Source organism: Homo sapiens, chromosome 19, assembly GCF_000001405.40.
Source record: "Homo sapiens chromosome 19, GRCh38.p14 Primary Assembly".
In the NCBI taxonomy this organism is placed as follows: domain Eukaryota; kingdom Metazoa; phylum Chordata; class Mammalia; order Primates; family Hominidae; genus Homo; species Homo sapiens.
This window is the reverse complement of record NC_000019.10, coordinates 36,175,208-36,203,153: the sequence shown is the minus strand read 5'-3', so window position 1 is coordinate 36,203,153 and position 27,946 is coordinate 36,175,208. Positions and strand designations below refer to the sequence as shown.

Below are 27,946 nucleotides of genomic sequence, written 5' to 3'. Positions count from 1 at the left end.
CATGTTGATTAGGCTGGTCTCGAACTCCCGACCTCAGGTGATCCACCTGCCTTGGCCTCCCAAAGTGCTGGGATTACAGGTGTGAGCCACCGTGCCCAGCTGTCTAGTTTTAAAAAAGAATGAAAGCAGTAGGGAGGGCTCAGATGAGAAATAAAGAGTGCTGGGCCAAGAGACTTCTAGAAATTGAGTTCCCATGGAGGGCAGTACTCTGGATGTGCGGGTATGCAAGCAAGATGCCTGTATTACTGAGGCTTTCTTGCTCCTGTCTGGTGAGTATAGCTGGGGCTGGAGACATTGACAGAGCCTATGGTATGCATGGTGTAGTCCCATTTTGGACTTGGAAGGAGGAAGTGGAGCCAGTGAGATGCCCAGGAGGTTTTGCCTGTTGAGCCCAGAGAAGCTAGAAGACTTCGTTTAGGGATGTCTTTTACTCAAGATTTGGCCTGCATAGATGGTCTGTGTTCCTAGCCTGATGGTGCTGTCCTCATCCTTAGGGGTCAAGTGAGTGAGTCTGAGTCGTAAGATCCTTGCTGTAATTTGGAGCAGGTGGGAGCCTTCTAGGCCCCATCTAGGGCCAAGTTTAGCATCACTAAGATGGGGGACTGTGTCAGCTGTAATCCCTCCCTTGGTGGTGCCTGGGTTCTGTGTCAGTGCTGGAGCACATCTGCCTTGAAACCATCTTTCTGCTTTTGGGTTCCTTACTTTTTAGGAAGGGACTGGGTTTTCTTAACTCTGCAGTTTTTTTTTGTTGTTGTTGTTGTTGTTTTGTTTTTTGTTTGTGTGTTTTGAGATCGAGTCTCGCTCTGTCGCCCAGGCTGGAGGGCAGTGGTGCAGTCTCGGCTCACTGCAACCTCTACCTTTCAGGTTTAAGCAATTCTTGTGCCTCAGCCTCCCAAGGTGCTGGGTTTACAGGCGTGAGCCACCATGCCTGGCCAACTCTGTAGTTCTTAATGTTAGTTCTTGTGTGGTAGGACATGGAGAGGTGGGAGAAGCAGATCCGAGACATTGGAAGTACAATTCTTTTAAGCTCATCTATTTGGGAGTGCTGAGGCAAGCTCAGTTTATCAGAGGTTACCCCATCTCCCCCCATTTTGCTTTTTCAGGACTCTGCACTTGTCCAAGAGAAGAATCCAGAGAAATCAGAGCAGGTCAAATAGTTCTAAAAGCCATGGCCCAGGTATGTTGAAATTCCTTCTATCCTTAGAATGATCTGTCTTCCCGCCAGATTATATGGACACTGTGTTCTTTATCCTGGAACTTCCCTGTATCCTTCTCACAGTTGGTCCATTCCAGGAGATGAGTAATGGTGCCCAAGTCCCTCGGTGGCCCTCTCCTCTCCAGCACTGTCCACGTGTCTGTAGTCCTCTTAGCAGAGCATAGGCTAGGCGTAGTGGCACATGCCTGTAATCTCAGCACTTTAGGAGGCTGAGGTGGGCCGATTGCTTGAGGCCAGGAGTTCGAGACCAGCCTGGACAACATGGTGAAACCCCGTCTCTACTAAAAATACAAAAATTAGCCGGGCATGGTACCACACACCTGTAGTCCCAGCTACTCAGGAGGCTGAGGCAGGAGAATCGTTTGAACCCAGGAGATGGAGGTTGTAGGAAGCCAAGATTTCCCCACTGCACTCCACCCTGGGAGACAGAGCGAGACTCTGTCTAAATAAATAAATAAATAAATGCTCTTAGCAGAGCACCAGTACAGTAGAAATACCTTCTCTTGAGAGAAATATGAGAGTCTCCCTTATCATAACTGTGGTTGAATGGGGCCAAACATGAAATAAAGTAGTTTCATCTTTTCCATTGTCTTGGGTGGTTTCTTTCTTCTGTGTTTTTGTTTTGTTTCGTTTTTTGAGACAGGGTCTCGCTCTGTCACCCAGACTGGAGCACAGTGGTGCAGTCATGGCTCACTGCAGCCTCAACCTCCTGGGCTTAAGCAATCCTCCCACCTCAGCCTCCCAAGTAGCTAGGACCAGAGCCACATGCCACCACTACCAGCTAATTTTTTAAGTTTTTGTAGAGACCAGGTCTCACTGTGTTGCCCAGACTGGTCTCAAACTCCGGGGCTCAATTGGTTAGCCTCCTAGTACTGGGATTACAGGCATGAGCCACTGCTTTATTCTTTATTCTATTTTTAAATGTCACCCCCTCTTTAAAAAGTCACAAGACACTTAATACCGTCAAATATATATATATTTATATGGCTGGGTGCAGTGGTGGTGGGTGCCTATAATCGCAGCTACTTGAGAGGCTGAGGTAGGAGAATCACTTTAACCTAGGAGGCCGAGGTTGTCATAAGCAGAGATCACGCCACTGCACTCCGGCTTGGGCGACACAGCGAGACTCTGTCTCAGAAAATATATATATATGCTGGGTGTGGTGGCTCCTGCCTGTAATCCCAGCACTTTGGGAGGCTGAGGCGGGTGGATCACGAGGTCAAGAGATCAAAACCATCCTGGCCAACATGGTGAAACCCCGTCTCTACTAAAAATACAGAAATTAGCTGGGTGCAGTGGCAGGTGTCTATAGTCCCAGCTACTCGGGAGGCTGAGGCAGGAGAATCGCTTGAACCTAGGAGGCAGAGGTTGCAGTGAGCCGAGATTACGCCACTGCACTCCAGCCTGGGTGACAGAGTGAGACTCCATCTCAAAAAAAAAAAAAATCCAACTTTCTTTTAGTTGGCCAGTCATTAAAGATATTTACAAAAATGTAAAACAATGCCACTAAATTTTTTGATTTTGACAATAGAGTTATGTTTCATAAAATGTATGTTACTGATATTAACAGGTAACAGGTTTATTTGTTGTTAAAATATTTTTAAAATTTCTCGGCTGGATGCATTGTCTGATACCTGTAATCCCAGCACTTTGGGAGGCTGAGGCAGACAGATCACCTGAGGTCAGGAGTTCGAGACCAGCCTGACCAACATGATGAAACTCTGTCTGTACTGAAAATACAAAAATTAGCCGGGCATGATGGCGCATGTCTATAATTCCAGCTGCTCAGGAGACTGAGGCACGAGAATCGCTTGAACCTGGGAGGCAGAGGTTGCAGTGAGCCAAGATTGCATCACTGTACTCCAGACTGGCTGATAGAATGAGACTCTGTCTCAAAAAAAAAAAAATTATATTTCTTTCTTTTAATTTCTAAGGTGGGAAAATGTTGATAGATATAACCATCATTAAGAAAAGTTCTGGCCAGGCCCAGTGGCTCACCCTGTAATTTCAGCACTTTGGGAGGCTGAGGTAGGAGGATCGCTTGAGACCAGGAGTTCAAGACCAGCTGGGGTGAGACCCCGTCTCTACAAACAAAAATTTAAATTTAAATTTTAAAACACAAAGTTAGGCATGGTGGCTCACACCTGTAATCCCAGCACTTTGGGAGGCCAAGGCAGGTGAATTACCTGAGCTCAGGAGTACAAGACCAGCCTGCACAACATGGGAAAACCCTCTCTCTACAAAAGATATGTATATACGAAAGTTAGCCAGGTGCAGTGGCATGCCACCTGTAGTCCCAGCTACTCAGGAGGCTCAGACAGGAGAATCTCTTGAGCCTGGGAGGCAGAAGTGCAGTGAGCCGAGATCATGCCACTGCACTGCAGCCTGGGCGACAGACTTAGACCCTGTCTCAAAAAAAAAAAAAAAAAAAGAGAAAGAAAGAAATTCATTTAAAAGGGTGTTATGTTTTACCCATTATCAGGGTGTTTGCAATAGAAGCCCACAGCCTTCTCTCTCCACATAGACATGGTAGGAGTTGTAGTGATTGGTGTTGGTCTCTGTATGTGGTAACATCTGTTTTGTGAGACCTTTAGGAAGGGGGCTGTGATTGGGAACTTCAGTGACGGAACACTCTTCAGTCTTGCAAGGATATGTATGAGATGAATAACCATAAAATGGTCCATTTTGAGGTTGAACATATGTGTTGGTTGTGGGCCACATTTATGTAACTCAGGTATACCCTCCATCAGCTTTCTGGTTTCAGGAGCAAGGAAAAGTGGACAGTGAAGGAATGTGAATATTAGCAAGCGTATAATAAACCCTGAAGATTTTACACATCTTGTGTTTTTAAATTTTTTTAATTTTTAATTTTTGTCAGTACATGGTATATATATTTATGGAGTACATGAGATGTTGTGATACAGGCATGCAGTGTGAAATAAGCACATCATGAAGAATGGGGTATCCAACCCCTCAAGCATTTATCCTTTGAGTTATAAACAATCCAGTTACACTCTTTATTTTAAAATGTACATTTAGGCTGGGCATGGTGGCTCACGCCTGTAATCCCAGCACTTTGGGAGGCCAAGGCAGGTGGATCACTTGAGATCAGGAGTTCAAGACCAGCCTGGCCAACATGAGGAAACCCCATCTCTACTAAAAAATACAAAAATTAGCTGGGCGTGGTGGTGGGCACCTATAATCCCAGCTACTCTGGAGACTGAGGCAGGAGAATGACTTGAATCCCAGAGCAGAGGTTGCAGTGAGCCGAGATCATGCCACTGCACTCCAGCCTGGATGACAAAGCAAAACTCCATCTCAAAAAAAAAAAATGTACAATTAAGTTCTTATTGACTATAGTCACCCTGTTGTGCTATCAAATAGTAGGTCTTATTCTTTCTATTTTTTGTACCCATTAACCATCCCCACCTCCCACTCAGCCTCCCTCTACCCTTCCCAGCCTTCAGTAATCATCCTTCTACTCTCTATGACCATGAGTTGAATTGTTTTGATTTTTAGATCCACAAATAAGTGAGAACATGCAGTTTGTCTCTCTGTGCCTGGCTTACTTCATGCAGCATAATAACCTCCAGTTCCATTCATGTTGCAGATGACCAGATCTCATTCTTTTTGTGGCTAAATAGTACTCTATTGTGTATATGTACCACATTTTCTTTATCCATTCATCTGTTGACAGACACTTGGGTTGATTCCAAATCTTGGCTATTGTGGACAGTGCTGCAGCAAACATGGAGTGCAGATATCTCTTCGATATACTGATTTCCTTTCTTTCTTTCTTTTTTTTTTTTAAACGGAATTTCATTCTTGTTGCCCATGCCGGCAGTGGTGCAACCTCTGCCTCCTGGGTTCAAGCGATTCTCCTGCCTCAGCCTCCCAAGTAGCTGGGATTACAGGCGCACGCTACCATGCCCAGCTAATTTTTTGTATTTTTAGTAGAAGTGGGGTTTCACCATGTTGGCCAGGCTGGTCTCGAACTCTTGACCTCAGGTGATCTGCCTGCCTTGGCCTCCCAAAGTGCTGAGATTACAGGCGTGAGCCACCACGCCTGGCCTACTGATTTCCTTTCTTTTGGGTAGATACCCAGCAGTGGTATCGCTGGTCCACAAGGTAGCTCCATTTTTAGTTTTTTGAGGAACCTCCAAGTTGTTCTGCATAGTGATTTTACTGATTTACATTCCCAACAAAGTGTACAAGGGTTCCCTTCTGTTCACGTCTTCACTAGCATTTGTTATTGCCTCTCTTTTAGATATAAGCCACTTTAACATACACATCTTAATTAAGCTAAGTGCACGAAAATAATGGAATCGACGTATCTTACAAGACATAACATACGATATTATGCAACCAATAACAGTCTCTGTCTTTCTGCCTGCCTGCCTGCCCTCCTTTCTAACTTCCTTCTCTCTTCCTTCTTTCATTCTTATTTATTTATTTATATTGTTTTTGAGATGGGGTCTTGCTCTGTCGCCCAGGCTGGAGTGCAGTGGCGCAATCTCAGCTCACTGCAACCTCCACCTCGCGGGTTCAAGCGATTCTCCTGCCTCAGCCTCCCTAGTAGCTGGGACTACAGGCACGCACCATCATGCCCAGCTAATTTCTTTTTTGGGGGTTTTGTTGTTGTTGTTGTTGTTTGTTTGTTTTTTTTGAGACAGAGTCTCGCTCTGTCACCCAGGCTGGAGTGCAGTAGCACAATCTCAGCTCACTGCAACCTCTGCCTCCGGGGATCAAGTTATTATCTTGCCTCAGCCTCCCAAGTAGCTGGGATTACAGGTGTGCACTACCACGCCTGGCTAATTTTTTGTAGTTTTAGTAGAGACAGGGTTTTGCCATGTTGACCAGGCTGGACTTCTTTTTTTTTTTTTAAACAGAGTTTCACTCTTGTTGCCCAGGCTAGAGTGTGGTGGCACAAATCAGCACACTGCAACCTCTGCCTCCCAGGTTCAAGCAATTCTCCTGCCTCAGCCCCTCAAGTACCTGGATTACAGGCACCTGCCACCACGCGCAGCTAATTTTTTGTATTTAGTAGAGACAGGATTTCGCCATGTTGGCCAGGCTGTTCTCGAACTCCTGACCTCAGGTGATTCACCCACCTCAGCCTCCCAAAGTGCTGGAATTACCACCGTGCCCAGCTGGCAGGCTGGTCTTGAACTCCTGGCCTCAAGTGATCAACCCGTCTCAGCCTCCCAAAGTGCTGGGATTACAGGCATAAGCCACCACGCCCAGCCTGGACTCATTTTTGAAAGACATTAGATTTGCCAGGCCCAGGTTTGCTGTGTGTTTTGTGTATTTCACTATTTCGCTTATTTATGGGACCCCACTTAGCTCTTTCCTGATCATTCCCAGACCATGGAAGATAGAAGTGTCCTGCTGTCTGCAGATAGTTTATGTGTAGCCACAGGAATGCTCAAGAATATATAGACCTCTAGTCATATAACTGTGCTTATTATACTTCCTTCATGCCACAGGCCTGCAGCTGTAGATTCTGTCATGCTTCATTACCTCCTTCCTCCAGTACCCTTCTTCATCTCCTCCAATGTCCTTGGCCGAGTGCAGTGGCTCAGGCCTGTAATCCCAGTGCTTTGGGAGGCTGAGGCAGGAGGATCACTTAAGACCAGGAGTTTGAGGCCAGCCTGGGTAACATAGTGAGATTCTGTCTCTACCAAACAAAATATTAAAAATCAAAATTAGGCTGGGTGCAGTGACTCACGCCTGTCATCCCAACACTTTGGGAGGCCAAGGCGGGCGTATCATGAGGTCAGGAGTTCAAGATTGACTAACATGGTGAAACCCCATCTCTACTAAAAATATAAAAATTAGCCAAGTGTGGCGGCGCACACCTGTAATCCCAGCTACTCAGGAGGCTGAAGCAGAAGAATTGCTTGAACCCAGGAGGAAGAGGTTGCAGTGAGCCAAGATCGTGCCACTGCACTCCAACCTGGGTGACAGAGCGAGACTCTGTCTCAAAAAAAAAAAAAAATTCTTCATCTTCTCATTAAGATATTTCCTGGATAAATTAGCTTGTCAAAACCTGACCCTACTCATCAATTTTAACCTCATTTAAAATGGGTCAGGTGGGCTGGGCACGGGGCTCACGCATGTAATCCCAGCACTTTGGGAGGCTGAGGCGTGCAGATCATGAGGTCAGGAGATCGAGACCAGCCTGACCAACATGATGAAACCCCTTCTCTACTAAAAATACAAAAAATTAGCCGGGCACAGTGGCACGCGCCTATGGTCCCAGCTATTCGGGAGGCTGAGGCAGGAGAATCACTTGAACCCAGGAGGCGGAGGTTGTGGTGAGCTGAGATCGTGCCATTGCACTCTAGCCTGGGCAACAAGAGCAAAACTCTGTCTCAAAAAAAAAAAGAGAAAAGAAAAAAAATTGAGAACACTGGGGCAATTAGAATTTAATCTGTTGACTGGGAAATTATTGATACTTTTATTAAGTATGATAATGATATTCTGATTATTATGTGTTTTTCTAAGAGAAGTTGTTGATAATCTGTTGGATACTAAAGTATCTGTGGGTGAAGTATTATGATGTTTGGCATGTGGGATTTGCCTCACAGTACATGGGGAATAAAAGATAGAAGGGAAGAGATAAAACAGGGTACACCTTGTTAACTGTTGAAGCAGACTGGTGCATATCGGGGGGCCATTACTGTCAACTATTCTCTGTACTTTTGTGCATCTTGAAAATTTTCATAATAAATGAAAAAAGTTTCTTAATGTACACTAATGCGTGGGTTTATTGTTTCAGGGACTGGTGACATTCAGGGACGTGGCCATAGAGTTCTCTCTGGAAGAATGGAAGTGCCTGGAACCTGCTCAGAGGGACTTGTACAGGGAGGTGACTCTGGAGAACTTTGGTCACTTGGCCTCACTAGGTAAGGAGATTGTATCACACGGGCCAGACGGAAAGCAAGGCAACAGGGACTACAACCATGGGGTGCAGTTTCCATCTCTGCCTAAATGGGTGAGGAGAGGAAACTGTCACAGGAGACGCTACAAACTACAGCCATAGAGAGAGGCCCGGCCAGCAATAGCTGTAGCTACTTCCAGAGCTCCTGGGTCAAAGGAGGGAGAGAGGAGGGTAAGAAATGCCTGGTGCTCTCTCTCCTCCTGTCCACTGATCTCCAGCTGATGCTTTCTGTCTGCCAAAGCCAATGAGAAGCCATAGGGCATGGGTAATGCAGTCCTTACGGTGAGCTGTCGGGATCCCAGAGCTGGGCACAGAACAAGGCCAGGAGCATCAAGGAATAGATTGGAGGGGAAGGAGGGGTTCATGGAGAGTGATCACCACACATTTACTCCACATAATTCAGGACTACCCTTCTGGAATTTCTGGTTTCTTCATTATGAATTTCTAGGGCAACTTACAAGTTTCTGACTGAATTTCTGGTGACTGAAAAATTGTTTTGTGCTTTGTGGAACTAGAAACAAGTCATTCTGCTGGGCAGCTCGGTCTTCCTATCCTTTGGACAACCTTCCACCTACCTTGTAATTGCGTCTTTTCCATGGTGACCAGGGAACTGGGTTTGGATTTTGGAGCGGTCTGATCACACCCCATTTCTTTTCCTGTAAACAGGACTCTCCATTTCTAAGCCTGATGTCGTCTCCTTATTGGAGCAAGGGAAAGAGCCCTGGATGATTGCAAATGATGTGACAGGACCATGGTGCCCAGGTAAGCGAGGGCCGATTTCGACAGGGGAAGGTCCCTGGATGAGTCGACTGACAGGAGTAACTTGAGTTACTGTGGGAAGTTCCCTCAAAGCCCTACTGTGGAAGAAAGGCCTGAAACGTGAAGATGTGGCGAGTAAAGACTTTATTAGCGTCAGCTTCCAAGAGAACCTTGGCCTACTCCCATTAATTCCTCTCTGGTCTCTGTTCTCTCACATTTTCCTTTCTTTTTAAAAAGAGATGTACCTATTTCTTCCCCAGTGGCCAACTTTTTACCTGTACTTTGTATCCTTTTTCTTTAAGAGACAGGATCTCACTCTGTCACCCATGCTGGAGTGCAGTGGCGTGATCATAGCTCACTGCAGCCTCCATCTCTTGGGCTTAAGCGATCCTCCCACTTTGGGAGGCCAAAGTGAGATTACAGGTGTGAACCATGGTACCTAGCCAGATCCTTTTTTCTACAAGTGTCTTCATCCCTTAGAAAAACTTATTTTTGGCCGGGCGCAGTGGCTCTACGCCTGTAATCCCAGGACTTTGGAAGGCCAAGGCGGGCGGATCACGAGGTGAGGAGATCGAGACCATCCTGGCTAACATGGTGAAACCACATCTCTACTAAAAATACAAAAAAATTAGCCGGGTGTGGTGGTAGGCGCCTGTAGTTCCAGCTACTCGGGAGGCTGAGGCAGGAGTATGGCGTGAACCCGGGAGGCGGAGCTTGCAGTGAGCCGAGATCGCGCCACTGCACTCCAGCCTGGGCAACAGAGCGAGACTCTGTCTCAAAAAAAAAAAAAAAAAGAAAAAAGAAAAACTTATTTTCTTGGCCAGGTATGGTGGCTCATGCCTGTAATCCCAGCACTTTGGCAGGCTGAGGTGGGTGGATCACCTGAGGTCAGGAGTTCAAGACCACCCTGGCCAACACGGTGAAGCCCCGTCTCTACTAAAAATACAAAAATTGGCCAGACGTGGTGGCTCACACCTGTAATCCCTGCACTTTGGGAGGCTGAGGCGGGCGGATCACGAGGTCAGGAGATCGAGACCATGGTGAAACCCTGTCTCTACTAAAAATACAAAAAATTAGCTGGGTGCGGTGGCAGACGCCTATAGTCCCAGCTACTCAGGAGGCTGAGGCAGGAGAATGGCGTGAACCCAGGAGGCAGAGCTTGCAGTGAGCCAAGATCACACCACTGCACTCCAGCCTGGGCGACAGAGCGAGACTCCATCTCAAAAAACAAACAAACAAACAAACAAAAAACTTAGCTGAGCATGGTTGTGGGTGCCTGTAATTCCAGCCACTCGGGAGGCTGAGGCAGGAGAATCTCTTGAACCCATGAGGTGGAGATTGCAGTAAACCGAGATCATGCCATTGCACTCCAGCCTGAGCGACAAAAGTGAACGTCTATCTCAAAAAACAAACCAAAAAAAAAACCATTTTATTGGCTGGGCACAGTGGCCCATGCCTGTAATCTCAGCACTTTGGGAGGCCAAGGTGGGAAGATCACTTGAAGCCAGGAGTTCAAGACCAGCCTGGCCAACATGGTAAAACCCCATCTCTACTAAAACCTCCGCCTCCCAGATTCAAGTAATTCTCCTGTCTCAGCCTCCTGAGTAGCTAGGATTACAGGTGCACGCTACCACACCTGGATAATTTTTGTATTTTCAGTAGATACAGGGTTTCACTATGTTGGCCAGGCTGGTCTCAAACTCCTGAGCTCAAGTGACCTGCCCACCTCAACCTTCCAAAGTGCTGGGATTACAGGCATGAGCCACTGCACCCAGCCAGCTGATCCTCTTAATGAGTATTTTTTTGTAGATTGTCTCTCACTTTACGTTTGTCTAATGTTTTCTCACAGTGAGATTCTGCATTTTAGCAAGAATATCACAGAAGTGATGTTATGTTCTTCTCTGTATATCACATATCAGACATCAACATGGCTTATTACTGGTGCTGTTCAGTTTGATCACTTGGTAAGATAGGTGCTGTTCACACTTTGGGAGGCCAAGGCGGGCGAATCACAAGGTCAGCAGTTCGAGACCAGCCTGGCCAATATGGTGAAACCCCGTCTCTACTGAAAATATAAAAATTAGCTGGGCGTGGTGGCGGGTGCCTGTAGTCCCAGCTACTCAGGAGGCTGAGACAGGAGAATCGCTTGAACCCGGGAGGCGGAGGTTGCAGGGAGCCAAGATCACGCCACTGCACTCCAGCCTGGGCAACAGAAAAAAAAAAAAAAAAGATAGGTGCTGTTCAGTTTGATCACTTGGTAAGATAGGGCCTGTCTTGTTTCTCCCCTGTGAAGTTTCCATCCGTAATTGATAAATATCTTATGGCGAAATACTTTCACACTAGGCAAATGTGCTGCTTTTCCTCCTCCCACTCCGATTTTGGCATCCATCACTGGACCTTGTCTGCACCAGTTATTACTCTGTCACTTGTCTAATGTTGATTTTCTGTGTCCCTTATTCCTTCACCATTTATTAATTGGAATTCTTCAATAAGGAAGAACTGTCCCTAGCCCTCTTCCATTCACTTGTTCATTCAATGATTTCTTTATATCACGATGAGTTCGTGGGTATTTATTTTATTCTATGGGCTGTAGTCACTACTTTCATTGTTTATTTCATTGCTCGAATCGTTCAGGCTTTGGCCCTTGAAAACTCGTTAAGCTTGGCTCCTGGGTTCTCTCAACACACCCACATTCTCTTTTATATACTTCCACATTTTCTGGTACCACAGCATGTTCCATGGTTATTTCAGATTTTTCCTGCCTCAGCCCTGAAATCAGCCAGTTCTCAAAAGAATGCTGGTTCCTTTTATTGAAAAATGGTTCAGGAGGCAGAGGTAGCTGAGAGCCGAGATTGCCCCACTGCACTCCAGCCTGGGCAACAGGAGTGAGACTCCATCTCGGGAAAAAAAAAAAAAAAAAAGAAAGAAAAATGGTAGGAAATCGATCATATCTTTGAACTTTTTCTGAGCAAAGCAAGACCTTAACATCTTTACCATACCATCTTTTACTTCCCTGTGCCCTAGACCAGGGGTCGGCAAACTGCAATCTGTGGGTCAAATGCAGTCCATAACCAGTTTTTCATACAGCCCTAGAGCCAAGAACAGTTTTGATATTTTGAAAGTGTTAAAAAAAAAAAAAGAATATGCTGTAGAGACTTTATGTGTTCAACAAACCCTAAAACATTTACCATTGGGCCCTTCACAGAAAAAGTTTGTTTTTATGTGTTTTTTTTTTTTTTTTTTTGAGACAGAGTCTCACTCTGTCACCCAGGCTGGAGTGCAGTGGCACGATCTCAGCTCATTGCAACCTCAGCCTCCCAGGTTCAAGCAATTCTCCTGCCTCAGCTTCCCAAGTAGTTGGGAATACAGGAGTGCGCCACCACGCCCAGCTAATTTTTGTATTTTTAGTAGAGACAGGATTTCGCCATGTTGGCCAGGCTGGTCTCAAACTCCTGACCTCAAGTGATCCACCCACCTAGGCCTCCCAAAACTCCCAAAGTGCTGGGATTACAGGCATGAGCCACCGCACCTGGCCTTCCCACTTTCACTTCCAAGGACCCTTGTGAATACATTGTGTCCACCCAGATAAACTGGGATAATCTCGCCATCTTGTGGTGGTCAACTGATTAGCCTTTTTTTTTTTTTAATTTTTTTTTTTTGAGATGGAGTTTCGCCCTTGTTGTCCAGACTGGAGTGCAATGGCGAGATCTCCGCTCATCGCAACTTCCGCCTCCCTGGTTCAAGTGATTCTCCTGCCTCAGCCTCCCGAGTAGCTGGGATTACAGGCGCCCACCACCACGCCCGGCTAATTTTGTATTTTTAGTAGAGGCGGGGTTTCTCCATGTTGGTCAGACTGGTCTCAAACTCCCGACCTCAGGTGATCCACCCTCCTCGGCCTCACAAAGTGCTGGGATTACAGGCGTGAGCCACTGTGCCCTGCCCTGATTAGCAATCTGAATTCCAACTCCCCTTGCTGTGTGACAACATTCATAGGTTCCAGGAATAAAGACACAGACATCTTTGAGTGCCGTTATCCCACCTACCACATTCTGTATGTATTTTTTTTAGCAAAGTTAATTGAATATGCATAAATTAACAATGTATGGACGGGCGCGGTGGCACACACCTGTAATCCCAGCACTTTGGGAGACCAGTAGGTGGATCACTTGAGGTCAGGAGTTCGAAACCAGTCTGGCCAACATGGTGAAACCCCATCTCTACTAAAAATACAAAAATTAGCCATGTGTGGTGGCAGGTGCCTGTAATCCCAGCTACTCGGGAGGCTGAGACAAGAGAATCGCTTGAACCCGGGAGGCGGAGGTTGCAAGGAACCAAGATCGATCGCGCATCTTTATTCCAGCCTTGGCAACAGAACAAGACTCCATCTCAAAAACAAAACAAAACAAAATAAAACAAAAACAACTTTATGGGTACGACTCTACTGTAATTCCGTATTAAAATATTAAGCCTATTGCTGTTGATTCCATAAAAGTGTTCTTGTCTTTCACAGAATATTTGGTTGGTGTGTTTTCTAATTTCTTGCAGTTCTGAAAAATAATAATCTTTTATTTATTAGATTTTTAAAAATTGTGATAAAATATACATTACATAAGGGGCCGGGTACAGTGGCTCATGCCTGTAATCCCAGCACTTTGGGAGGCTGAGGTGGGCAGATCACCTGAGATCAGGAGTTCCAGGCCAGCCTGGCCAACATGGTGAAACCCCATCTCTATGAAAAGTACAAAAAAAAAAAATTAGCCGGGCATGGTGGCACATGCCTGTAATCCCAGCTACTTGGGAGGCTGAGGCAGGAAAATTGTTTGAACCCGGGAGGCGGAGGTTGCAGTGAGCCAAGATCACACCACTGCGCTCCCAGCCTGGGCGACAGAGCGAGACTCTGTCTCAAAAAAAAAAAAAATTACATAATATTTATTTATTTATTTTTGTGAGACAGGTTCTGGCTCTGTTGCCCAGGCTGGAGTGTAGTAGCACGATCTCGGCTCACTGCAACCTCTGCCTCCCAGTTTCAAGCCATCCTCCCACCTCAGGTTCCCAAGTGGCTGGTGCTACAGGCACATGCCACCATGCCTGGCTAAGTAGATAATTCAGTGGCATTTAGTTCATTCACAGCATTATACACTCTGCTTCCAGAGCTTATGCATCATCCCAAACAGAAACTCTGTACCCATTAAACAATAACTCTATTTTCCTTCCTCCAGTCCCTGGTCACCTCTGTTCTACTTTTTGTCTGTATGAATTTGCCTATTCTAGGTATCTCATGTAAATCATCCAGTATGTGGCCTTTTGTATCTGGCTTATTTCACTAAGGATAATGTTTTATCCAAGTTGTAGAATGTCTCTGAATTTTATTCTTTTTATGGCTGAATAATATTCCATTGTATGTGTGTATGTAGATGTATACATGTATAAATACTAATATACATGTGTACATATTATATACACACTTTGTTTATTCACTCATCTGTTTTTTGTTGTTGTTGTTGTTTTGTTTTTTTTTTTTTTTGAGACGGAGTCTCACTCTGTTGCCCAGGCTGGAATGTAGTGGCATGATCTCAGCTCACTGCAACCTCCACCTCCCAGATGCAAGAGATTCTCCTGCCTCAGCCTCTTGAGTAGCTGGGACTACAGGCACCCGCCACCATGCCTGGCTGATTTTAGCATTTTTAGTAGAGACGGGGTTTCGCCACATTGGCCAGGCTGGTCTCGAACTCCTGACCTCAACTGACCTGCACGCCTCAGCCTCCCAAAGTGCTGGGGTTACAGGCATGACCTACCACATGCGGCCCCCTCATCTGTTCTTGGAGTTGTTTGTTTTTTGTTTTTAATTTTTTTTTCTCTCTCTCTTTTATTTTTCCTTGAAGCCCTTGAGTCTCACTTTGTCGCCCAGGCTGGAGTGCAGTGGCGGGATCTTGGCTCACTGCAACCTCCGCCTCCCAGGTTCAAGTGATTCTCCTGTCTCAGCCTCCTGAGTAGCTGGGACTACAGGTGCACAACACCATGCCAGGCTAATTTTTTGTATTTTTAGTAGAGACGGGTTTCACCGTGTTAGCCAGGCTGGGCTCGAACTCCTGACCTCATGATCCATCTGTCTTGGCTTCCCAAAGTGCTGGGATTACAGGCGTGAGCCACTACGCCTGGCCCCTAAATTTATATTCTTTATAAATTTTTATCATCTTGGCCTATTTCTGAGAAAGGTGAATTGAAATCTCCAAGATGACGATTTTGTTAATTTCTTCTTGTGTGTCTTTTGAATTTTGCATTATATGTTTGGAGGCTGGGCCAGGCGCGGTGGCTCACGCCTGTAATCCCAGCACTTTGGGAGGCCGAGGTGGGCAGATCATGAGGTCAGGAGATCAAGAAAATCCTGGCTAACACAGTGAAACCCCTTCTCTACTAAAAGATACAAAAAATCAGCCAGGCGTGGTGGCACACGGCTGTAGCCCCAGCTACTCGGGAGGCTGAGGCAGGAGAATCACTTGAACCTGGGAGCCAGAGGTTGCAGTGAGCCAAGATTATGCCACTGCACTCCAGCCTAGGCGACAGAGCAAGACTCTGTCTCGGCCGGGCACCATGGCTCATGCCTGTAATCCCAGCACTTTGGGAGGCCGAGGTGGGCGGAGCACAAGGTCAGGAGATCGAGACCATCCTGGTCAGTGAAACCCCATCTCTACCAAAAATACAAAAAATTAGCCAGGCGTGGTGACGGGCGCCTGTGGTCCCAGCTACTCGGGAAGCTGAGGCAGGAGAATGGCGTGAATCCGGGAGGCAGAGCTTGCAATGAGCCGAGATCGCGCCACTGCACTCCAGCCTGGGCGACAGAGCGAGACTCCGTCTCAGAAAAAAAAAAGAGACTCTGTCTCAAAAAATAAATAAAAATAAATATATATATTAGGAGGCTATTAGGTGTATATAACTTTAGAAACATAAATCTTCCTGCTGAATGGAATTACTTTCTTGATTATAGAGCTACCCTGCTTAACCCAAAATGATGATTTCTGTTTTTAAAGTCTATTTTTTTTTTTTTGAGATGGAGTTTCGCTCCTGTTTCCCAGGCCGGAGTGTAATAGCACGATATTGGCTCACCGCAACCTCCGCCCCCTGGGTTCAAGCAATTCTCTTGCCTCAGCCTCCCGAGTAGCTGGAATTACAGGCATGTGCCACCATGCCCAGATAATTTTGTATTTTTAATAGAGACAGGGTTTCTCCATGTTGGTCAGGCTGATCTCAAACTCCCAACCTCAGGTGATCCACCCATCTCAGCCTCCCAAAGTGCTGGGGTTGCAGGCATGAGTCACCGCACCCGGCCACACCTTTTATTTTCAAACACCTTAGGTCTTCATGTCTTAAAGTGTGTTACTTGTTACTACTGTGCACCTAGATTTTGGTATTTTATCCAATCTGACAAATGCCGTCTTGTCTTTTTTTTTTAAACAAGTTCTTGCTCTGTTGCCCAGGCTGGAGTGCAGTGGCACTATTCTCGGCTCACTGAACCTCTGTCCCTGGGCTCAAGCCATCCTCCCACCTCAGCCTTCTGAATACCTGGAAACACAGGTGCCTGCCACCATGCCCAGCTAATTTTTTGTGTTTTTGGTAGAGATGGGGTTGCACCATGTTGCCCAGTCTGGTTTCGAACTCCTGAGCTCAAGTGACCCACCTGCCTCAGCCTCCTAAAGTGCTGGGATTACAGGCATGAGCCACCACGCCCAGCTGGGTTGGTTTCAATGGTTAGTGAAAAAGGCAGTATTTCCATCTTTGGGGAAGATTCAGGAACAAGAAAACAAACAGAACAGCAGATGAATATGTAAATGAAAATCTAATTACAACAAAAGTGTTACAGAGTACAAGAAATGGGAGAAAGGATAAAGGCGTGTGTTTAGGGCTGTCAGGCTGAGAGCTTTCTTGAAAGTGTGAGTTTTTGCCGGGCATGGTGGCTGACGCCTGTAATCCCAATACTTTTAGAAGCCAAGGCGGCTGGATCACGTGACGTCAGGAGTTCAGGAGACCAGCCTAGCTAACATGGTGAAACCTTGTCTCTAATAAAAATACAAAAATTGGCCGGGCGTGGCAGCACATGCCTGTAATCTCAGCTACTCGGGAGGCTGAGGCAGGAGAATCGCTTGAACCCCAGAGGCAGAGGTTGTGGTGAGCTGAGATCGCACCACTGTACTCCAGCCTGGGAGACAGAGCAAGACCCCATGTCAAATATTAAAAAAAAAAGACAAGCCAGGCACAGTGGCAAACGCCCGTAATCCCAGCACTTTGAGAGGCCGAGGTGGGCGGATTACCTGAGGTCAGGAGTTTGAGACCAGCCTGGCCAACATGGTGAAACTCCATCTCTACTAAAAAAGCAAAAATTACCCAGGCATGGTGGCAGGCACCTATAATCCCAGCTACTCGGGAGGCTGAGGCAGGAGAATCACTTGAACCTGGGAGGCAGAGGTTGCAGTGAGCGCCTGGGGGACAGAGTAAGACTCTGTCTCAAAAAAAAAAAAAAAAAATAGAGAGTGAGTTTTCATCTGAGACCTTAAGGATGAGAAAAGCAGCAAAAAGCCCAGGACAGGATTCTTGATAGATGGAAGAACCTGATGAGAGATCTGAGATGGAAAAGGCCTAGATTTATTTTACATGCTCATAGATGGCTGGTGGTTTTGTACACTGGGAGGAAAGGGGAGAATGTTCAATGTGAAGAGGCCCTGCTCTTGCTGAGACACAGTGGTGACAAAAACAAGCAGGGATCTGCTTTGCCAAGAGCCCTGTGAGCCATGGCAGTGAGTTTGTAATTCTTTTTTTTTTTTTTTTTTGAGACAGAGTTTCGCTCTGTCACCCAGGCTGGAGTGCAGTGGTGCGATCTCAGCTCACCACAACCTCTGCCTCCCGGATTCAAGTGATTCTCCTGCCTCAGCCTCCCAGGTAGTTAGGATTACAGGCATGTGCCACCACGGCCGGCTAATTTTGTATTTTTAGTAGAGACAGGGTTTCTTCATGTTGGTCAGGCTGATCTCGAACACCCGACCTCAGGTGATCCACCCACCTCAGTCTCCCAAAGTGCTGTGATTACAGACATGAGCCACTGCACCCAGCCCTTTTTTTTTTTTCTGAGATGGACTCTCACTCTGTCTTCCAGGCTGGAGTGCAGTAGTGCCATCTTGGCTCACTGCAACCTCTGCCTCCTAGGTTCAAGTGATTCTTGTGTCTCGGTCTCCCAAGCAGCTGGGATTATAGGCGCCTGCCACCATGCCTGCTAATTTTTGTATTTTTTAGTAGAGACAGGGTTTCTCCATGTTGGCCAGGCTGGTCTTGAACTCCTGACCTCAAGCGATCCATTTGCCTTGGACTCCCAAAGTGCTGGGATTAAGGCATAAGCCACCTCGCCTGGCCTTTGGAATTAATTCTTAATGCACCGAAATGGGAAGGCAGTGAAATGTTTAAGCAGAGATTTTCATTTTGATGGACATCAACTTTATGTGGTGGGAAGTGTTGAAAATATAGATGCCTTATTTACATGAAATGTCCAGAATAGGCAAATTTATAGAGACAGAATTAGTAGCTCTGTGCCAGTAATGGTTGCCAGGGGCTGGAGGGAATAGGGAATGGGGAGTGACTGCTTAATGGGTGGGGGGGTTTCTATTTGGAGTGATAAAAATGTTCTCAGCCAGGCGAGGTGGCTCACGCCTGTAATCCCAGCACTTTGGGAGGCCAGGGCGGGTGGATTGTTTGAGGTCAGGAGTTCAAGACCAGCCTGGCCAATATGGTGAAACCCCATCTTTACTAAAAATACAAAAATTAGCTGGGTGTGGTAGCAGTGCCTGTAATCCCAGCTACTCGGGAGGCTGAGGCAGGAGAATCACTTGAACCCAAGAGGCGGAGGTTGCGTGAGCCAAGATTGTACCACTGCATTCCAGCCTGGGCGACAGAGCAAGACTCCGTCTCAAAGCAAAAAACAAATTTAGAACCCCTGGCTTAATTTGTCTTCTTGCTCCCTTCTGGCACCATGTGAGCTCTTCACATGGTGTGCTTTCATCTGCTTTTTTGAAATTGCATAATATTTGAGATGTATATAAGGCATTCACTTTTTATGGTTATTTATTTTTGTCTCCCTGTTCTACTATAGTTTTTTTTTTTTTTTTTTTTTTTTATGAGACAGAGTCTTGCTCTGTCGCCCAGGCTGGAGTGCAGTGGCGCAATCTCGGCTCACTGCGACCTCTGCCTCCCAGGTTCAAGCGATTCTCCTGCCTCAACCTCCCTAGTAGCTGGGATTACAGGTGCCTGCCACCAAGTGTGGCTAATTTTTGTATTTTTAATAGAGACAGGGTTTCACCATCTTGGCCAGGTGAACTCCCGACCTTGTGATCCACCCGCCTCAGCCTCCCAAAGTGCTGGGATTACAGATGTGAGCCACCGTGCCTGGCCTCTACTATAGAATTTTTTATTTCTCATAGAGAAGGATCACAGCTTGTATTTATCTTTTTCTTATTTTTCAGACTTGGAGTCCAGGTGTGAGAAATTTCTACAAAAAGACATTTTTGAAATCGGGGCATTCAACTGGGAGATAATGGAAAGCCTTAAATGCAGTGACCTGGAGGGCTCCGATTTTAGAGCTGACTGGGAATGCGAAGGCCAGTTTGAGAGACAAGTCAATGAAGAGTGCTATTTTAAGCAAGTGAACGTCACCTATGGACATATGCCCGTGTTCCAGCATCACACGTCTCACACTGTACGTCAGAGCAGGGAGACTGGTGAGAAACTGATGGAATGTCATGAATGTGGGAAAGCATTTAGCCGTGGCTCACACCTTATTCAACATCAGAAAATTCACACTGGTGAAAAACCCTTTGGATGTAAGGAATGTGGGAAGGCCTTCAGCCGTGCCTCACACCTTGTTCAGCATCAGAGAATTCACACGGGTGAGAAACCTTATGACTGTAAGGACTGTGGGAAGGCCTTTGGTCGTACATCAGAACTTATTCTACATCAGAGACTTCATACTGGTGTCAAACCTTATGAATGTAAAGAATGTGGGAAGACCTTTAGGCAGCATTCACAGCTGATTCTGCATCAAAGAACTCACACAGGCGAGAAACCCTACGTATGTAAAGACTGTGGCAAGGCTTTCATTCGTGGCTCCCAACTCACTGTGCATCGGAGAATCCACACAGGGGCCAGACCCTATGAGTGTAAAGAATGCGGGAAAGCCTTTAGACAGCACTCACAGCTGACTGTACACCAGCGAATCCACACTGGTGAGAAACCCTACGAGTGTAAGGAATGCGGAAAGGGCTTTATTCACAGCTCAGAAGTTACTCGACATCAAAGAATTCATTCTGGGGAGAAACCCTATGAGTGTAAGGAATGTGGGAAGGCCTTCAGACAGCACGCACAGCTCACACGACATCAGAGAGTCCATACTGGCGACAGACCCTATGAATGTAAGGACTGCGGGAAGGCATTTAGTCGTAGCTCATACCTCATTCAACATCAAAGAATTCATACAGGTGACAAACCCTACGAATGTAAGGAATGTGGGAAGGCCTTTATTCGTGTTTCACAACTGACTCATCATCAGCGAATTCACACTTGTGAGAAACCCTATGAATGCAGGGAGTGTGGAATGGCCTTTATTCGTAGTTCACAACTTACCGAACATCAGAGAATTCATCCTGGTATCAAACCTTACGAATGTAGAGAGTGTGGGCAGGCATTTATTCTTGGCTCACAACTCATTGAACACTACAGAATTCATACTGGTTAGAAAGCCTTGAGTGTAAGGGATAAAGATAAGCCTTTATGTGGAGTTCACATCTGGCTCAGTACTAGGTAATTTTTAATGTAGTGTAATTAATGTCAGAAAACACCTGTCACTTCCATCATAGAACATCAGAAAACTCACACCCAAAGAAAATTAAATAAATGTGGGAATTCTTTTTGCCTCACTCACTGTTTCCTAAGCATCAGATAATCTATGCTAAAAAAAAATGAATATAGAAAAGCTGCTTCTTGCCATTCAAAATATGTTAAATTTCTGACAATTCCTAATACAAAAATGACCCGATTAAAAGATTCTGTGGCCAGGCGTGGTGGCTCATGCCTGTAATCCCAGCACTTTGGGAGGCCAAGGCCGGCAGATCATTTGAGGTCAGGAGTTTGAGACCAGCCTGGCCAATGTGGCGAAACCCCATCACTACTAAAAATACAAAAATTAGCCAGGCATGGTGGCGGGTGCCTGTAATCCCAGCTACTCAGGAGGCTGAGGCAGGAAAACCGTTTGACCCCAGGAGGCAGAGGTTGCAGCAAGCCGAGATCCCACCATTGCATTCCAGCCTCGTTGACAAGGACAAAACTCTGTCTCAAAAAAAAAAAAAAAAAAAAAGGTTCTGGCTGGGCATAGTGGCTCACGCCTGTAATCCCAGCACTCTGGGAGGCCGAGGCGGGCGGATCACAAGGTCAGGAGATCGAGACCATCCTGGCTAACACAGTGAAACCTGTCTCAACTAAAAACTATGAAAAAATTAGCTGGGCCTAGTGGCGGGCACCTGTAGTCTCAGCTACTCGGGAGGCTGAGGCAGGAGAATGGCGTGAACCCAGGAGGCGGAGCTTGCAGTGAGCCAAGATCGCACCACTGCACTCCAGCCTCGGCGACAGAGCAAGACTCCATCTCAGAAAAAAAAAAAAAAAAGATTCTATGACTGTGCCTTTCATCATGGCGTATACTTTACTTAGCAGTGCTCACTTCCCCCGATTATAGACTACATAGCATTGGGCAAGTTATGCAAACTCTCTGTCCCTCAGTTTACTTTTTTTTTTTGAGACAAAGTCTAGCTCCGTCACCAGGCTGGAGTGCAGTGGTGCGATCTCAGCTCACTGCAACCTCCGCCTTCCAGGTTCAAGGGATTCTTCTGCCTCAGCCTCCTGAGTAGCTGGGATTACAGGCACATGCCGCCATGCCTAGCTAATTTTTGTATTTTTAGTAGAGACGGGGTTTCACCATGTTGGCCAGGATGGTCTTGATCTGACCTCGTGATCTGCCCACATCGGCCTCCCAGAGTGCTGGGATTACCGGCGTGAGCCACCATGCCCAACCCAGTTTACTTATTTTTAAGTGGTGATTATTATGTCTAACTAATAGAACTTTTATGAGGACTAAATGAGGTATTTTATGTAAAGCCTTAGAAGTAATACCTATCACACACAAGTGCTCAGTAAATACTAGCTATTGTCATTAATTTTATTATTAGTATCACTGATAAGGAGTTCATGTGAGAGGAGAGCCTTATGAATACATCACATATCCAAAAGTCTTCATAACCAGTTGTTATGATCATTTATTCTGAAAAATAGTGGGAAAGCATAATTATTATGAGGCCTTCAATCAAAAGGTTAGAAATTCAGAAGATTAGAAATTAACAGAAGAGTGGCCGGGTAAGGTGGCTCACACCTGTAATCCCAGCACTTTGGGAGGCCGAGGCAGGCGGATCACTTCAGGTCAGGAGTTTGAGACCAGCCTGGCCAACATGGTGAAACCCCGTCTCTACTAAAATACAAAAATTAGCCAGGTGGAGTGGTGCATGCCTGTAATCCCAGCTACTCAGGAGGCTGAGGCAGGAGAATTGCTTGAGCATGGGAGGCGGAGGTTGCAGTGAGCTGAGATTGTGCCACTGCACTCCAGCCTGGGTGCAGACCCTGTCTCAAAAAAGAAAAAAAAAAAAAAAAAGAACTAGTTTAGCATAGCCAAAGCTGTACTCCCATCAGAACCTGAGAATTGAAGCTAGTGGCTTTGTGCTCCATGTGTAGATCCCCAGCACCTCATCACTGCCAGTCACATACTAAACATGTTGAATGAATGAGTAGTCAACTCTCAAAGTTAGGAAAAAATTACAATATAAACCAAAGTCAGCAGTAAGATTAATTATTAAAAATGAAAACAGAATGGAAAAACAGATTTCATCTGAAGGTTGTTTGTTTAACAATACAATAAGACTATTTACAAGTGTGATCTAAGGAAAAAATATTATGAATGAGAAAGGGGGTAAAGATTTTTTAAAAATAGCTTACTATGCATGACTTTTTTCTGTTTTAAAATCTGGAGAGAATGGATTTTTATAAAAATATCAAAATTGATTCGTAGGATTCCTGTAATCCTAGCACTTTGGGAGGCCGAGGTGGGCAGATCACCTGAGGTTAGAAGTTCGAGACCAGCCTGGCCAACATGGTGAAACCCCGTCTCTACTAAAAATACAAAAATTAGCTAGCCATGGTAGTGCGTGTCTGTAATCCCAGCTACCTGGGAGGCTCAGACAGGAGAATCACTGGAACCTGGGAGGCGGAGGCCACAGTGAGCCGGGATCGTGCCACTGCACAACAGTCTGGGCGACAGAGTGAGACCCTGTCTCAAAAAAAAAAAATTTGTCACTCTGAATAGTTAAAGCACAGTCATAGGATAAAATTGTTAAAGTTACAATTTGTTGTTGTTGGGTTTTTTTGTTTTGTTTGTTTTTTGAGACCGAGTCTCACCCAGGCTGGAGTACAGTGGTTTGATCTCAGCTCACTGCAACCTCCGCCTCCCGGATTCAAGTGATTCTCCTGCCTCAGCCTCCCGAGTAGCTGGGATTACAGACGCCCACCATCACGCCCAGCTAATTTTTGTATTTTTAGTAGAGCCGGGGTTTCACCATGTTGCCCACACTGGTCTCAAACTCCTTGACCTCAAGTGATCTGCCCACCTCAGCCTCCCAAAGTGCTGGGATTAAGGTGTGAGCCACTTCCTGGCCTAAAGTTACAACATGGTATGCAGACATAAGTGAATCTTCATAAAATAGCTCTATGCCTTTCCCACCCCATTACCTTTTATGGAACAATCACTAACACCAAGTTCTTGTATATAGTTGGTGATTTTTAATTTGCATACATTACCTTTTATGGAACAATCACTAACACCAAGTTCTTGTATATAGTTGGTGATTTTTAATTTGCATAAGCATGTAATCCCAGCACTTTGGGAGGCCAGGGAAAACAGATCACGTGAGGTCAGGGAGACCAGCCTGGCCAACATGGTGAAACCTTGTCTCAACTAAAAAATACAAAAATTAGCCGGGTGTGGTGGCTCATGTCTGTAGTCCTAGCTACTTGGAGGCTGAGGCACAAGAATCACTTGAACCCAGGAGGCAGAGGCTGCAGTGAGCCGATATCCTGCCACTGCACTCCAGTCTGGGTGACAGAGTGGAGACTCCATCTGAATAATAATTATTAATATTTGCATAAGCATAATGTACTCTTTATAAAAATATTTTACACAAGTGATAGCAAATTTCAACACATTGGTATTTTTGCTTATGCATACATCTTGAAGATTAGACCATATTGGTACATATATAGCTGCCTTATTTTTTTTTAACAACTCCTGAGGATTCCATCATCTGTGTGTTTCATAATTTATTTAACATTATCAATTTTTTTTTGAGACGGAGTCTCGCTCTGTCACCCAGGTTGGAGTGCAGTGTTGTGATCTCAGCTTACTGCAACCTCCACCTCCCAGGTTCAAGCGATTGTCCTGCCTCAGCCTCCCAAGTAGCTGGGACTACAGGTGTGTGCCACGACGCCCAGCTAATTTTTGTCTTTTTAGTAGAGACAGGGTTTCACCATGTTGGCCAGGCTGGTCTCAAACTCCTGACCTCAGGTAATCCGCCCACCTCGGCCTCCCAAAGTGCTGAGATTACAGGCGTGAGCCACCTCACACGGCCATTTTTTTGTTTTGTTTTTGAGACAGAGTCTCGCTCTGTTGCCCATGCTGGAGTGCAGTGGCATGACCTTGGCTCACTGCAACTTCTGCCTCCTGGATTCAAGAAATTCTGCTGCCTCAGCCTCCTGAGTAGCTGGAATTACAGGCACCTGCTACCACGCCCGGCTAATTTTTGTATTTTTAGTAGCTACAGGGTTTCACCATGTTGGCCAGGCTGGTCTCAAACTCCTGACCTCAAGTGACCCACCCACCTTGGCCTCTCAAAAGTGCTGGGATTACAGGCATGAGCCACCGTGCCTGGACTTTCCATTATTTTTTGTTCTTTCAAACAATCCCATAATATTTCCCTTGCACGTAAATTATTTTGTACATGTGTAATATATCTTTAAGGTAAATTCCTAGAAGTGGAAATGCTAGATAAAAATGTAAATTTTTGGCTGGGCGCAGCGGCTCACACCTGTAATCCCTAATCCCAGCACTTTGGGAGGCTGAGGCAGGGGGATCACGAGGTCAAGAGATAAAGACCATCCTGGCCAACATGGTGAAACCTCATCTCTACTAAAAATACAAAAAATTAGCAACAGAGCGCGATTCCGTCTCAAAAAAAAAGTAACTTTTTAAAACTTTCTATCATGAAAAAATTTGAACATATACAAAAATACACAGAATCTTATATTGAACTCCAGCGGCCTCATCACCAGCTTCAAGAATTATCAGCTCATGGCCAATCTTGCTTTGTCTGTGTACCCACTTCTCTCATCTCTGTTATTTTTGAAGTAAATACCAGATATATTATTTCATCCACAGACATTTCATACATATCTTTAAAGCACATGACAACATTAGAAAATATTTTCACTCCTTAAAAAAAAAAAAAAACAGGCCTGGTGCAGTAGCTCATGCCTGTAATCCCAGCACTTTGGGAGGCCGAGGTGGATGGATCATCTGAGGGCAGGAGCTCGAGACCAGCCTGGCCAACGTGAAACCCCAACTCTACTAAAAATACAAAAATTAGCCAGCCATGGTGGTGGGCACCTGTAATCCCAGCTACCTGGGAGGCCGAGGCAGGAGAATCCCTTGAACACAGAAGGCAGAGGTTGCTGTGAGCTGAGATTGCGCCATTGCACTCCAGCCTGGGCGACAAGAGTGAAACTGCGTCTCAAAAGAAAAAAAAGATGTTACCACCTTAATGCCATTACATGTATGATAGTGTTCAAATTTTTGTTTCATAAATGTCAGTTTTATAAAAAATTCCCAGGATCCAAATGATGTCCTCAAATTGCAGTTGATATGTCTTGTATTTCTCTATTATTCTCAATCTATTCTCCTTTACTGGCTTTTTTTTTGCAACTTCTTGTTTTTTGAAGAAACTAGATAATTTGCCTTGTAGACTTGCCTTCTCCAAGTCTAGTTTTTGCCGGCTGCATCTGCATGGTGTAGTTTAACATGCTCCTCTATCCCTAGTATTTCCTGTAAATTAGTTGAGATTGAGAGGACTGGTCAAATTGAGGTTCTTTTTTTGTTAAGATTATTTATCAGTGGTTAATATTGGAAGCCATAATATTTAGGTGTTGCTCTTTTTGTGATGTTGGCAACCATTGATGTTTCATTCATAAATCTGTTCATTAGAGGTTGCAAAATGGCGATATCTTATTATTCATTCCTTATTAGCTAGAATATTCTTATGAAGAAAAACTTTCTGGCCTGGTGTGGTGGCTCACACCTGTGATCCCAGCACTTTGGGAGGCTGAGGCAGGTGGATCACTTTAGGTCAGGAGTTCGAGACCAGCCTGATCAACATGGTGAAACCCCATCTCTACTAAAAATACAAAATTAGCTGGGCATGGTGGCACATGCCTGTAATCCCAGCTACTTGGGAGGCTGAGGCAGGAGAATCGCTTGAACCTGGGAGGCAGAGGTTGCAGTGAGCCAAGATCGTGCCATTGCACTCTAGCCTGGGCAACAAGAGTGAAACTCCATCTCAAAAAAAAAAAAAAAAGAAAAAAAGAAAAAACTTTCCTTCAGCTACTATTTAGTACCCAATGATATAGTAAAGAAACACAGGAGGCTGGGTGTTTTGGCTCACCCCTGTAATCCTAGCACTTAGGGAGGCCAAGGCGGGTGGATTGCGTGAGCTCAGGAGTTTAAGACCAGCCTGGGCAACACGGCCATCTCAACTAAAATACAAAAACTTAGCCAGGCTTGGCGGTGTGTGCCTGTAGTCCCAGCTACTCAGGAGGCTGAGTCAGGAGAATTACTTGAACCTGGGAGGCGGAGGTTGCAGTGAGCCGAAATCGCACCACTGCACTCCAGCCTGGGCGACAGAGTGAGACTCCGTCTCAAAAAAAAAAAAAAAAAAAAAAAGGAAAAAGGAAAAGAAAAGAATTGCAGGATAAATGCTTCTTTCTCTTTACTGGTTTTCATAATAATGAGTTGAGGTCAGGCAGGGTGGCTCATGCCTGTAATCTCAGCACTTTGAGAGGCCGAGGCAGGCAGATTACTTGAGGTCAGGAGTTCGAGACCAGCCTGGCCAAAATGGTGAAATACTATCTCTAGTAAAAATACAAAAATTAGCCAGGCGTGGTGGCGCGTGCCTGTAATCCTAGCTACTTGGGAGGCTGAGGCAGGAGAATTGCCTGAACCCAGGAGGCGGAGGTTGCAGTGAGCCGAGATCGCGCCACTGCGCTCCAGCCTGGGTGACAAGAGCGAAACTGTCTCAGAAATAATAATAATGAATTGGCTCCCCCAGCATTCTGCCATGGTAGCTGATGCATTTAGATGCAGGTGTGTGTGTGTGTGTGTGTGTGTGTGTGTGTGTGTGTGTGTGTGATGTTTAATGTGTTTCAATCCATTTAAATTGCACCCTCAGTGATGCTCAAATGCCTCCATGTTGGGTGTGGAAGAGCCTCTTCCAGTTGGCTCCTGTGTCCTTTTGCTATGACCCAGTCCTCTTTGATTATTTGCCCCGTCTGCCACCACAAGATGTTCCAAGTTCATCTTGTTCATTTCCTGTCTCTCACCTTTAAGTCGCCATTTTCCAAGGAGCCCTCTTCTTTCCTTTAGGTATTTTGGTACTTTCCCAAATGGCATTTGGAAACCACAATCAGGTTGTTAGGAGTGCTTCCTGCTCCTGGTTGGCCATTTTTAAGATATGTATGCATTTTAAGCCATTCTATAGACATTGCTCAAGTGCCTTCAGGAAGATTATGCAGCTGTACATCTACCTACAGTAGAAGAGATCCCAAAGCCACGCTCATCCAATCCTGGAGAATCA

At 45.6% G+C, this 27,946-nt stretch overlaps 1 protein-coding gene across 8 annotated transcripts in view, besides 4 other annotated features; it reads left to right on the top strand.

The window, feature by feature from the left end:
• The window catches only part of ZNF565 (zinc finger protein 565), a 63,869-nt gene extending 42,775 nt beyond the window's left edge, over positions 1-21,094 (top strand). For 3 of the 8 annotated variants that reach the window (NM_001042474.2, XM_011526512.3, XM_011526514.3), the window contains exons 2-5: positions 1,104-1,177; positions 7,998-8,124; positions 8,826-8,921; positions 19,421-21,094. In NM_001042474.2, coding sequence (NP_001035939.1) covers positions 1,169-1,177; positions 7,998-8,124; positions 8,826-8,921; positions 19,421-20,688 — 1,500 coding nt within the window. In that variant the 5' untranslated portion in view covers positions 1,104-1,168 and the 3' untranslated portion in view covers positions 20,689-21,094. The remainder of the gene's footprint in view (positions 1-1,103; positions 1,178-7,997; positions 8,125-8,825; positions 8,922-19,420) is intronic. The other 5 variants (NM_001366188.1, NM_001366189.1, NM_152477.5 and 2 more) reach the window with 4 other exon arrangements.
• Positions 9,485-9,985: an enhancer, noted in NCBI's record as "H3K4me1 hESC enhancer chr19:36684071-36684571 (GRCh37/hg19 assembly coordinates)". NCBI's record gives its function as "activates a minimal SCP1, AML or CMV promoter by ChIP-STARR-seq in primed H9 embryonic stem cells {active_cell/tissue: H9 hESC(primed)}" and the evidence as "EXISTENCE:reporter gene assay evidence [ECO:0000049][PMID:30033119]".
• Positions 9,986-10,486: an enhancer, noted in NCBI's record as "H3K4me1 hESC enhancer chr19:36683570-36684070 (GRCh37/hg19 assembly coordinates)". NCBI's record gives its function as "activates a minimal SCP1, AML or CMV promoter by ChIP-STARR-seq in naive and primed H9 embryonic stem cells {active_cell/tissue: H9 hESC(naive and primed)}" and the evidence as "EXISTENCE:reporter gene assay evidence [ECO:0000049][PMID:30033119]".
• Positions 14,954-15,492: an enhancer, noted in NCBI's record as "H3K27ac-H3K4me1 hESC enhancer chr19:36678564-36679102 (GRCh37/hg19 assembly coordinates)". NCBI's record gives its function as "activates a minimal SCP1, AML or CMV promoter by ChIP-STARR-seq in primed H9 embryonic stem cells {active_cell/tissue: H9 hESC(primed)}" and the evidence as "EXISTENCE:reporter gene assay evidence [ECO:0000049][PMID:30033119]".
• Positions 15,493-16,032: an enhancer, noted in NCBI's record as "H3K27ac-H3K4me1 hESC enhancer chr19:36678024-36678563 (GRCh37/hg19 assembly coordinates)". NCBI's record gives its function as "activates a minimal SCP1, AML or CMV promoter by ChIP-STARR-seq in primed H9 embryonic stem cells {active_cell/tissue: H9 hESC(primed)}" and the evidence as "EXISTENCE:reporter gene assay evidence [ECO:0000049][PMID:30033119]".
• Positions 21,095-27,946: the final 6,852 nt, after the last annotated feature.